Genomic DNA, 13,107 nt, shown 5'->3' on the forward strand with positions numbered 1-13,107 from the left:
AGGCGGGCGGATCACCTGAGGTCGAGAGTTCGAGACCAACCTGGCCAACATGGAGAAATCCCGTCTCTACTAAAAATACAAAATTAGCTGGGCGTGGTGGCAGGCACCTGTAGTCCCAGCTACTCGGGAGGCTGAGGCGGGAGAATGGCGTGAACCCGGGAGGCGGAGCTTGTAGTGAGCCAAGATCGCACCACTGCACTCCAGCCTGGGCAACAGAGCAAAACTCCGTCTCAAAAAAATAATTAAATAAATAAAATAAAAACAGCAGGGTGCAGTGGCTAACGCCTGTAATCCCAGCACTTTGGGAGGCAAAGCCGGGCAGAACACCTGAGGTCAGGAGTTCGAGACCAGCCTGACCAACATGGAGAAATCCCGTCTCTACTAAAAATACAAAATTAGCCGGGCGTGGTGGCGCATGCCTGTAACCTCAGCTACTCAGGAGGCTGAGTCAGGAGAATTACTTGAACCCAGGAGGTGGAGGTTGTGGTGAGCCAAGATCGCACCATTGCACTTCAGCCTGGGCAACAAGAGTGAAACTCAGTCTCAAAAAAAAAAAAAAAAAAGAAATCTTTGCCTACCCGACCCAAGGTCACAAATCTTTTATGCTGTGTTTTCTTCCAGAAGTTTTATAGTTTTCGCTTTGCCTTGTGGTCTGTAATGCATTTCAAGTTTACTATTTTATCTATGATATATAGCTCTTTTTTAAATACAGATATTCAGTTGTTCCAGCCCTGTTTATTGAAAACACTATCCCATTTCATTGAGTTACTTAGTCACTTTATTTATTTATTTTTTTAATTTTTTATTTTTGAGATGGAGCCTCGCTCTGTCACCCAGGCTGGAGTGCAGTGGCACGATCTCGGCTCACTGCAAGCTCCACCTCCCGGATTCACAGCATTCTCCTGCCTCAGCCTCCCGAGTAGCTGGGACTACAGGCACCCGCCACCATGCCCGGCTAATTTTTTTTTGTATTTTTAGTAGAGACGGTATTTCACCGTGTTAGCCGGGATGGTCCCAATCTCCTGACCTCGTCGTGATCCACCTGCCTCGGCCTCCCAAAGTGCTGGGATTACAGGCGTGAGCCACTGCGCCCGGCCCCTTAGTCACTTTATATAAAATCAATGGACTGTATATGTGTATCTGTTTCTGGAATGTCAATTGATTTCTATGTTGGTGCTTATGTCAATACCACATCATCATAAACATTGAAGATTTATAGTAAATCTTGAAATCTGGCATTGTAAATTCTCCAGCTTCATTTTTATTTTTTATTTTTTATTTTTTTTGAGATGGAGTCTAGCTCTGTCGCCAGGCTGGAGTGCAGTGGTGAGATCTCGGCTCACTGCAACCTCCACCTCTCGGGTTCAAGCGATTCTCCTACCTCAGCCTCCTGAATAGCTGGGATTACAGGTGCCCGCCACCACACCCAGCCAATTTTTATATTTTTAGTAGAGACGGGGTTTCACTATGCTGGCTGGGCTAGTCTTGATCTCCCAACCTCATGTGATCCACCTGCCTTGGGCTCCCAAAATGCTGGGAGTACAGGCGTGAGCCACCGTGCCTGGCCTCTAGCTTCATTTTTTTTTTTTTTTGAGACAGGATCTCACTTAGTCATCCAAGCTGGAGTGCAGTGACATACATGATCATAGTTTACTGCAGCTTTATCTCCCTGGCTCAAGTGATCCTCCCTCCTCACCCTCTGAGTAGCTGGGACGACTGCGCCCAGCTAGTTTTTTTTTTTTTTTTTTTTTTTTTGAGACAGGGCTTTACTATCACTCAGGTAGAGTACAGTGGTGCCATCTCACCTTACTGCAGCCTCTGCTTCCCAGATGCAAACAATCCTCCTGCCTCAGCCTCTCGAGTAGCTGGGACTATAGGCATGTGCCACCACACCCAACTACTTTTTGTATTTTTTGTAGAGACGGGGTTTCACCATGTTGGCCAGGTTGGTCTCGAACTCCTGACCTCAAGCGATCCTCCTGTCTCAGCCTCCCAAAGTGCTGATCCCTTTGCATACACTGAAGTATAGAGAAACAAAGTACAATAAAAAAAAAGAAAAAGAAAATGAAAACAGACGTTTGTTTGTTTGTTTTGAGACAGGGTCATGCTTTGTCACCCAGGCTGGAGTGCAGTGGTGCAATCACAGCTCACTACAGCCTAGACCTCCTGGGCTCGAGTGATTCTTCCTCAGCTTTCTGAGTAGCTGGGACTACAGGTGTGCACCACATACCTGGCTAATTTTTTTTGAGATGGATTCTTTCTGTGCTGCCCAGGTTGGAGTGCAGTGGCGCGATCTCAGCTCACTGCAACCTCCGCCTCCCAGGTTCAAGCAATTCTCCTGCCTCAGCCTCCCAAATAGCTGGGACTACAGGCACGTCCCACCACGCCCGGTTAATTTTTTATATTTTTAGCAGAGACAGGGTTTCACCGTGTTAGCCGGGATGGTCTCAATCTCCTGACCTCGTGATCCTCCCACCTTGGCCTCCCAAAGTGCTAGGATTACAGGCGTGAGCCACCACCTGGCTAATTTTTTATAGAGACAGGTCTCCTTCTGTTGCCCCGACTGGTCTCGAACTCCTGAGCTCAAGCGATCCTCCTGCTTCCGTCTCCGAAATGCTGGGATTATAGGCAAGAGCCGCCGTTTGCAGCCTTGTTGGTAGTTTTCGGTGTGCAGTTCTTACATATGTATACTGTTAAATATATCCCTAAATAATTTACTTTTGAAGCCTGGCACGGTGGCTCACGCCTGTAATCCCAGCACTTTTTGGGAGGCTGAGGCGGGCAGATCACCAGAGGTCAGGAGTTTGAGACCAGCCTGGCCAACGTAGTGAAACCCTGTCTCTACTAAAAATACAAAAATTAGCCAGGTGTGGTGGTGCATGCCTGTAACCCCAGCTACGCGGGAGGCTGCAGCAGGAGAATTGCTTGAACCCGGGCATTAGAGGTTGCAGTGAGCTGAGATTGCACCACCACGCTCTAGCACGACAGAGCGAAACTCCGTCTCAAAAAAAATAAAATAAAATAAAGAAAGTTCTTTTGATGGTGTTTAAGTGGCATTTTTGAAAATTTCATTCTTCAGTTGTTTATTGCTAGTATATTGAAATACAAGTGATTATTCCACACCAGCCTTGTGTCCTGCAAACTTGCTAAATCAACTTACTAGTTTTTATAGATACCTTAGGATTTTCTATGTAAACGATCATATTGTCTACAAATAAAGGAAGTTTTATCTGTTCCTTTTTAATCTTTTTATTTTTTATTTTGAGAGGGAGCCTCACTCTGTCGCCCAGGCTGGAGTGCAGTGGTGCGATCTCAGCTCCCTGCAACCTCCGCCTCCTGGGTTCAAGCGATTCTCCTGTCTCAGCCTCCCCAGCAGCTGGGATTACAGGCATGCGCCACCACGCCCAGCTAATTTTTAAATTTTTGATGGAAACAGGGTTTCACCATGTTGGCCAGGCTGGTCTCAAACTCCTGAGCTCAAGTGATTTGCCCGCCACAGCCTCCCGAAGTGCTGGGATTACAAGCCACCTTGCCCAGCCAGTTCCTTTTTAATCTTTATGACTTTTTTTCCCTTGCCCTATTGCATTAGTTAGAACCTCTAATACCACATTGAATAAAGGTGTTAAGAGGTATATCCTTGCCTTATTCCCAATCTTAGTAGCATATTATTGTCTTTTACTGTTAAGTGTGATGGTAACCGTAGATTTTTTTTGTAGACGTCAGCTATCAGTTTAAGCATTACTTCTATGCCTAGTTTGCTGAGACTTTATAATGAGTAAGTGTTGCCTTTTCCGTATCTATTCAGTTGATGATGATTTTTCTCTATTCTTTGAATGTGACAAATTACATTGATTTTTCAGATGTTGAGTAAACCTTGCCTTCCTTGGATAAATCACACTTGGATAATATGTCATGACATATTATCCATTTTATATAGTGCTGGATTTGATTTGCTATTATTTTGTTGAAGATTCTTTTTTTTAAACAGAGTCTCGCTATGTTGCTTAGGCTGGTCTTGAACTCTTGGGCTCAAAGCAGTCCTCCCACCTCGGCCTCCCAAAGTGCTAGGATTATAGGCATGAACCTCTGCATGGGGTGGTCTTTGTTTTTTTTTCTGTCGTAGTAAACCTAACATCATAAAATGACTTGGAAAGAAAGTATTGTCTTTTCTATTTTCTGAAATAATTTATGCAAGTTTTTTTGTTTGTTTGTTCTTAAATGTTAGATAGGATTCACCAATAAAGCCATCTGGACCTAGAGGGTTCTCTTTTGGAATATTTAGAATTATAAATTCAATTTCTTTAATAGACATAGAGCTATATAGATTTTCTTTTGTATCAGTTTTGATAATTTGTATTTTTTGAGGGATTTATCCACTTTATCTTGGTTGTTTAATAAAGTTGTTCCTAATACTCCCTTATTATCTCTTTAATGTATATAGGATTTATTTATCTAATTCCCTGTTAATGAGCACTAGAGGGAAATGAATGGCTGTTAAGAATAACGAGTACATATGGGATACCGGTGCTAGAGATGTGCTAAGTGTTTCCTTGTAAAACACGTATCTCCCTCTTATCATTTTATGATTTGTCCAGAGTGATAAACTAGATGCTTCAGCTGACAGGCTCTGAATAGGCTCTTTTAACAATCTTATCTATATATTCCAAATACCAACTATAAAAACATGTCATTTTCATCATGATTTGAGTGCGTATCTCACACAAACCTGTTTTTACTCCCTCAGGCCATCATGCAGAAGGGGGATACAAACATAAAGCCCATCCTCCAAGTCATCGTAAGTACCTGCGTATGTTATGTTCCATGTCAACTTCTTTGGAGTCATCGAATTACAAGTTACGTTTGATGAAGGACAGACAGATTTGTCCACTTTCGGAAATTCACCCCCAGTCACAAAAAATAGGCCAGTCTACATTGTAACCCTGAGAGAGCAGCCAGGCTTTTTGAAAATGTTACTACGTGAGCTGCTAAGTTCTACTGTCTTTGGAGATTCAGACTGAAGGCTTTGCCTCTCTCTTCCTCCCCACTGTTGATAGATGACTGTGGAGCTACTTGCCTTTCCTGCCCTTGGGTTTGTCTTGTTCACATTGGCCTTTCATATGACCTCCAGAAATATATCTAGTATGAACTTGTCTCTTTTACATTCTTCAGTTAACACATCATTTATTTAAGGGGTTCTCAAACTTCAGTGGGAGTTTTGAAAAATAGAAGCAGAATGGTGGGCTCACCCCTGCAGGTTTTCAGTCGGCCGGTCTGATGGGTCTCTCTGCTGCACCACACGCGCCGTGGGTCAGCTTGGGGCTCTGGGTACAGGTGTCACTTGCTTTGGAAACCTGCCTCTGCTCTCTCTCAGGTGGGGATAAAGGTCCCGGCTCTGCCGCCTGATCACGGACACATCACTTACGTCTCTCTGCCTCCATCTCCACCCCAGTTGTTAGCTCCTTCAGGACAAGGATTCTTTTTATTCATTTTGTATTTTTAGCATGTTTCCTACACAGCACCTTGTGTATATTGGGTGCTTCATTATTATTATTATTATTATTATTATTATTATTATTATTTTGGTAATTGATTTTTAACCATATTTGAGTCAGGGGTGAGAACACAAGAGTATAGGCAGCTCGTTTTACTTCCCTCTCTGTTGTGTTTAATAATGTTAGTGGAGGGAGGTTAGTGGGAAAATCATCAAATCCAGTTTTCTTTTACTTGGATTTAAGTGTCAAGAGAATGGGCAAACAGTTTGTGTTGAACTAATGGCAAACCCACTCTCCTGCCACTTCGGTTTACGTATCCCTGGGGACGGGGCAGACAACCTGGCTAATGAATCAAGTTTTCTGTCCTAGAACATCCGTCCCATTACTACGGGGAATAGTCCGCCGCGTTATCGACTGCTCATGAGTGATGGATTGAACACTCTATCCTGTGAGTATGGTGTATCCATCTAGAAATGTGTGAGTATTTAAATAGTAGAAGCACACCTGGTCCTTTGGTTGCCATAATTTGGGGGCATTCGTGAAGTCCGTACTTGCTTGGCTACGTACTTCATTCAGACAGAATTGCAGCTGTCAGAGAGCATTCTAACAATAGACTGGAGGTAGTGGAAAGCTGCCACTTGGCTTAATTAATTTTCCCTAACTGGTGTTCTGTGTTTTCTCTGATTAATTTCCCTAAGGATGATATTGACATCGACTGAGTGCGAGGGGTCAGCTGCCCTATACTTTCCTTTTCTGGGGTTTTATTTCTGTGTTGGAAGCTGTAAAGGGGAGAAAGGAGAGAATTTTTAAATGATTTTGGCCACTTTAACAAATTCACACATTTAAGAGTAGCAGCAAATGTTTAACAGGCAGCAAAATACACAGTTTTTCACTCTGCAGAGTCTGACTAGTTTTAATTTCAGGAGCATATGTAAGGCATTTTTCTTTGCTAGCACAGGTATGAGTAGCTCTCAGAGGCTTAAGACTGCAGGATTTTGGAGGCTAAAGAAATCTCTGTGGTTTTCAGCTTTCATGTTGGCGACACAGTTGAACCCTCTCGTGGAGGAAGAACAATTGTCCAGCAACTGTGTATGCCAGATTCACAGATTTATTGTGAACACTCTGAAAGACGGAAGGTATGTGCTGTGTTTTTTTCTGTCTTATTGTATCGTAGAATGGGAACAAATTTAGGAATAAAAAAGGCAATAGTGAGTTTTCAGCTAAGAATCTGCAGCTTTTCAGTTAAGAACTCAGGTAGCTAACACATGGCACCCAAGGAGGAGAAACATGGAAACAAGTTGGAAATTTCAGAGCAGAAGATTAAAGTAGAATGCAGAAATCTTGTTATTTCTAATTTCTTCAGAAGCAGCATTTTTAGGATTTCCCCCAAAAGAATCTTATCTCTTTTGTTTGTTTTTGGTAGAAACGGGGTTTTGCCATGTTGCCCAGGCTGGTCTCGAACTCCTGAGATCAGGCAATCTGCCCACCTCAGCCTCCCAAAGTGCTGGGATTACAGGTGCGAGCCATCATGCCCGGCCTCAAAAGTATCTTTTAATGAAAAGAGGTACTTTATTTTACAGCAGAAAATGATAATTATTTTGTAATGCTGCTTTGTGTGTGTGTGTGTGTGTGTGTGTGTGTGTGTACAATCTTGAATCTTTTATATTAAATGCTATATTTAGCCAATATAGAATACATTGAACCACATGTGGTGGCTCATGCCTGTAATCCCAGCGCTTTGTGGTGCTAAGGTGGGAGGATTGCTTGAGGCCAGGAGTTTGAGACCAGCCTGGGTGACATAGCCAGGCCCTGTCTCTACAAAAAAAAAAAAGTTAAATTAGTGAGGTGTGGCGGCACACGCTACAGTCCTAGCTACATGGGAGGCTGAAGTGGGAGGATTCCCTAACCCCAGGAGTTTGAGACTGCAGTGAGCTGTGATTGCACCGCCGCACTTCAGCCTGGGCAGCACAGCAAGAGGCCATCTCTAAAAAAATAAATTTAAAAAAAGAATGTGTTGTACACGGACAAGTTACTGCATGCTAGAGATACAGTGATGAACAGAACTGTTACTCTCATTGCTAAAACATGACTGATTTCAGGCAAGGTGCAGTGGCTCACACCTGTCATGCCAACACTTTGGGAGACCAGGTAGGGAGGATCACTTGAGCCCAGGAGTTTGCAACCAGCCTGGACAATATGGTGAGACCTTGTCTCTACGAAAAAAAGGAAAAGTTAGCTGGGCGTTATGACATGTGCCTGTGGTCCCAGCTACTCGGAAGGCTGAGGAGAGAGAGTGGCCTGAGCCCTGAGAGGTGAAGGTTGCAGTGAGCTGAGATCACGCCACTGCACTCCAGGCTGGGCAGGAGAGTAAGACCCTGTCTCAAAAAAGACCAAAACAACAACAACAAAAACCGAGATAAAAAATGATAACAATACTAAGAGGTTTAAGTAATTAGTTTTTTAAATTCTGTTATACTGATTTTAGGACTCTTACATTTTCTCCAGCTGTTCTTTTTTCCTACCTCTTTATCTCTGTGTTGGTTGGATTTCACTCAATAACTTTTTTCTGGACTGGCTCTTTAGTGCCGTCTTCCCCATTATCAGCCTGTTGGTCTTTATGCTAGAATGACCACTTGCCTGGCTGTCTATTGTTAGGTTATGTGGCTTTACCCTCAGAATTTTGTCTTCTGGCATTGAATGTTGATCTGGAGAAGTCTTAAGGCCAGCCTGGTTTGATTTCTTCCCTTGTAGGAAGCTTTGCTTTTTTTTTTTTTTTTTTTTTTTCTCCTGAGGCCTCACTCTGGTTGCCCAGGCGGGAGTGCAGTGGCACCATCAGGGCTCACTGTAGCCTTGACCTCCCGGGCTCAGGTGATTCTCCCACCTCAGCCTCCCGAGTAGCTGGGACTACAGGCGCCCACCACCACGCCTGGCTAATTTTGTTTTGTATTTTTAGTAGAGACGGGGTTTCACCATGTTAGCCAGGATGGTCTCGATCTCCTGACCTCGTGATCCACCTGCCTCAGCCTCCCAAAGTGCTGGGATTACAGGCGTGAGCCACCGTGGCCGGCCGTCCATATTCTTTTTTCTTCTGGTATGTGGTATGCTTGTTCAGTCTGCCGATTCAGTTCTTTTCAACGAAGTTTTTCTGTGTGTTATTCCTTAATGTTGTTTTCTATTTCACTTATTGAGTTCCAGTTTTTTACATACGTTGTAGATAACTTTGATCTCCGCATAGGTCTTTACTTTAACCTTTTTTCTGATGGATGCATTGGCTTGCTTCGAGGTTTTCCAACGTAATAGTACAGTTTTTAGTTTTCTCTCTTCTACTCCTCAATCTTTATAAATTATTAGATGTATAATAGTATTGATTTTGTTCTGTTTTTTTCTTAGCTGTTCAAGCTCCCTTTTCTTCTTAGTCTCTTGTTTTAGCTCATCTTTTGACTGTTAATTTGTTGGATTCATATAGTCGTACTTATTTTGCCAATCGCTTTTGGGAAGTGTCACTCCTTTTCTTGGCTTGTACTTTCTTCCAGAGTGGGTTCTTTAATCGGCTTTGCCTCCCTGTTGCTTTCCCTTTTATGCATTGTTGTGTATTGTATTGTTGCTTTGTCATCATCCCTTTTTATTTTGTTCATGCTTAATGTGGACAGTCCTGTCCAGACTTGGTATTTGCTCTGACATAGTCTAGGCTAGGTACATGTTGCCAACCTTCTCACTTGGGACCTTTTATCTTCCACTCCAGGCTATCTTGGAGCGCTTAAGTGGTGTTTTGCAGCCACTTTTCTGTCCTCCAGGGCATGGTTGTGGGAGAGGGTGGAAGTGTTGCTGGGATTGAGTGCAGTCCTTGCTGGGAAACTTCACAGCCCACTCTCTCCAGTCACGGAGACAGCTCCACTCCCCTGGGCTTTGCCTGATGGCACTGCCTCAGCTTGCAGGCTTGCCTCATATTCTTTTGTACCTCTGCTGAGAGCCTGTGTGTGCGGCTGGGTTTATTTACTCCTTGCTTTTTTGGTGATCATTCAGGTTTATTCTAAACAGGACTTGAGCAGTCATCCTTGTACTTTATCTTAACGTGTTTATGCTTTTATTTCTGAATAACAGATCATTAGAATTTGTATTGTGGGGTCAACGGACATCTGTGGAAAGTATACTAATTATACTCATAAATGTTATATAAGAGTATCTATTGGCCAGGCACAGTGGCTCAGGCCTGTAATCCCAGCACTTTGAGAGGCTGAGGCGGGGCAGATCACAAGGACAGGAGATCGAAACCAGCCTGGCCAACATGGTGAAACCCCATCTCTACTAAAAATACACAAATTAGCTGGGCGTGGTGGCGGGTGCGGCCTGTAATCTCAGCTACTCAGGAGGCTGAGGCAGGAGAATCGCTTGAACCCAAGAGGCGGAGGTTGCAGTGAGCCGAGACTCCAGCCTCGGTTACAGAGCAAGACCCCATCTCCAAAAAAAAAAAGCGTATCTCTGAATAGACAAATCCATAGAAACAAATTCAATGACTGGTTCTCAGGGGTGGTAGAGTGTGGAGTGACTGTCATTGTACACATGGTTTCTTTTGCTGATGACAACAGTGTTCTAAAGTGAGGTAGTGGTGATGCTTGCATAACTGCAAAATGCAAAACCCATAGGATTATCCACTCTGGAAGGGTGAGTTCATTATGGTACGTGAATGATATCTCAATAAACATGTTATTTAAAAAGAAGTGTTTGCCATTAAGCTTGTCAACATACTGTGTATTAGTCATATTTTAAAGAATAATTATCAGCCAGGCACGGTGGCTCATGCCTGTAATCCCAGCACTTTGGGAGGCTGAGGCAGGCAGATCACCTGAGGTCAGGAGTTTGAGACCAGCCTGGTCAACATGGTGAAACCCGTCTCTACTAAAAATACAAAAATCAGCCGGGCATGGTGGCACATGCCTGTAATCCCAGCTACTCGGGAGGCTGAGGCAGGAGAATTGCTTCAACCCGGGAGGCAGAAGTTGCAGTGAGTCAAGATTGCGCCATTGTACTCCATCCTGGGTGACAAGTTTTTCTTGCCCAGGCTGGAGTGCAATGGTGCCATCTCGGCTCACTACAACCTCTGCCTCCCGAGTTCAAGCAATTCTCTGCCTCAGCCTCCTGGGTAGCTGGGATTACAGATGTGCACCACCATGCCTGGCTAATTTTTTTGTATTTTTAGTAGAGACGGGGTTTCACCATCTTGGCCAGGCTGGCCTTAAACTCCTGACCTTGTGATCCACCCACCTCGGCCTCCCAAAGTCCTAGGATTACAGGTGTGAGCCACCGCACCCAGCCTGTTCCTTTTTATGGCAGAATAATACTCTGTTGTCTAGATACATCACATTTTGTGTATCTATTCGTTAGTTGATGGGCATTCGGATTATTTCTGCCTGCTTGCTATTACTAATAATTCTATGAACATTTGTGTACAAGTTTTTTGTGGACAGACGTTTCCATTTCTTTTATAGATAATCTGTCTAGGAAAGGAATTGCTAGGCTAAATGGTCATTTTATGGTTAACTTTTTGAGGCTATTGTTCAAAGTGTGTACACCAGTTTACCTCCCTGCCAACAGCGCGTGAGTGTGGAGTTTCTCCCCGTTCTTGCCAGTACTTCAAATTACACTCCATAGAGTTTCAGTTAAACTTCTCTGTAGACTATTTAGTAGTTTATAGACAAGGTCTTTCTTTACTTTTTCCCTCCAAATTTTTGTTGGCTGTTCTTTTTTTTTTTTTTTTTTTTTGAGACGGAGTCTCGCTCTGTCTCTCAGGCTGGAGTGCAGTGGTGCGATCTCGGCTCACTGCAAGCTCCGCCTCCCGGGTTCACGCCATTCTCCTGCCTCAGCCTCCCCAGTAGCTGGGACTACAGGTGCCCACCGCCACGCCCGGCTAATTTTTTGTATTTTTAGTATAGACGGGGTTTCACTGTGTTAGCCAGGATGATCTCGATCTCCTGACCTCATGATCTGCCCACCTCGGCCTCCCAAAGTGCTGGGATTACAGGCGTGAGCCACCGCACCCGGCATTCCTTATTCTCATATTTGTCATTTTGTTTTTTTTTTTTTTAATTTTACTGTATTGACAGCGCTGTCAAAACTTTGTTGGACGATGGTAATGTCAGCAGTTGCCTGATTTTCATGGAAATGCTTTTGGTTTCACTGTTCAATGCAGTGTTGATCGTGGAAAAACGCGCAGTTTACCAGGTGCAGGTTTTATTTTTTAAGTCCTCAGGATTTCATCAGAAATGGCTCGTAAATTCTTTCAAAGCTTTTACTACATCTTGATATGATCATATTTAATGAACTATTTTAATAGATTATCTAGGCTGGACGTGGTGGCTCATGCCTGTAATCTCAACACTTTAGGAGGCCGAGGTGGGTGGATCACTTGAGGTCAGGAGTTCGAGACCAGCCTGGCCAACATGGTGAAACCCTGTCTCTACTGAAAATACAAAAATTAGCCAGGCGTGGTGGCACATGCCTATAGTCCCAGCTACTCGGGGGACTGAGGCAGGAGAATCACTTGAACCCGGGAGATGGAGGTTGCAGTGAGTTGAGATCGCCCCACTGCACTCTAGCCTGGGCGACAGGGCAAGACTCCATCTCAAAAAAAAAAAAAGATTACCTAATATTCAACTCTTGTTTCATTCTTGCGATAAATCCTGCCTTAAAAAAATAATCCTAGGGCTAGGCTGGTGGCTCACGCCTGTAATCCCAGCACCTTGGGAGGCCAATGCAGGTGGATCACCTGAGGTGGGGAGTTCAAGACCAGCCTGGCTGGCCAACATGGTGAAACACCATCTCTACTGAAAATACAAAAATTAGCCAGGCATGGAGGCACACACCTAATAGTCCCAGCTACTCGGGAGGCTGAGGCAAGAGAATCACTTGAAACCAGGAGGCGGAGGTTGCAGTGAGTTGAGATTGCCCCACTGTACTCTAGCCTGGGTGACAGAGCAAGACTCCGTCTCAAAAAAAAAAAAGGATTGCCTAATAATTCAACTCTTGTTTCATTCTTGCAATAAATCCTGCCTTAAAAAAAAATCCTAGGCTGTGCTGGTGGCTCATGCTTGTAATCCCAGCACTTTGGGAGGCTGAGGCAGGTGGATCACCTGAGATGGGGAGTTCGAGACCAGCCTGGCCAACATGGTGAAACCCTGTCTCTACTAAAAATACAAAAATTAGGTGTGGTGGCGGGTGCCTGTAATCCCAGCTACTCAAGAGGCCGAGGCAGGAAAATTGCTTGAACCTGGGAGGCGGAGGTTGCAGTGAGCTGAGATTGTGCCACTGCGCTCCAGCCTGGGTGACAGAGTGAGACTCTCTCTCTCAAAAAAAAAAATAAGAATTATCTTAGCTTGCTAATTTTCTCTTTTTATTTTTAAAAATCTTTTTTCTGGAAAACTTTAAACATCTACAAACATAGACAGAATACACAGTAGTCTGATGAATCCCCATATAGCCCATCATTCAGCTCCAAATTGTCATCTGTTGTCCAGTTTTGCTCTAGCTCCATCCTTTCAACGTCCACTATCCTCTGTAATTTTGAGGTAAATCTCAGACATCATATTATTTCATCCATAAATATTTTAGTATGTATTTT

General features: G+C 43.9%; 1 protein-coding gene across 3 annotated transcripts in view; it reads left to right on the forward strand.

Annotated features, from left to right (window-relative positions):
• RPA1 (replication protein A1) overlaps positions 1–13,107 on the forward strand; it is a 70,078-nt gene that overhangs the window by 8,054 nt on the left and 48,917 nt on the right. For all 3 annotated transcript variants that reach the window (NM_001355120.2, NM_002945.5, NM_001355121.2), the window contains exons 2-4: positions 4,745–4,795; positions 5,862–5,940; positions 6,520–6,628. In NM_001355120.2, the coding sequence (NP_001342049.1) occupies positions 4,751–4,795; positions 5,862–5,940; positions 6,520–6,628 (233 nt within the window). In that variant the 5' untranslated portion in view covers positions 4,745–4,750. The remainder of the gene's footprint in view (positions 1–4,744; positions 4,796–5,861; positions 5,941–6,519; positions 6,629–13,107) is intronic.

The sequence above is a fragment of the Homo sapiens genome, chromosome 17 (genome assembly GCF_000001405.40).
Source record: "Homo sapiens chromosome 17, GRCh38.p14 Primary Assembly".
Taxonomy (NCBI): domain Eukaryota; kingdom Metazoa; phylum Chordata; class Mammalia; order Primates; family Hominidae; genus Homo; species Homo sapiens.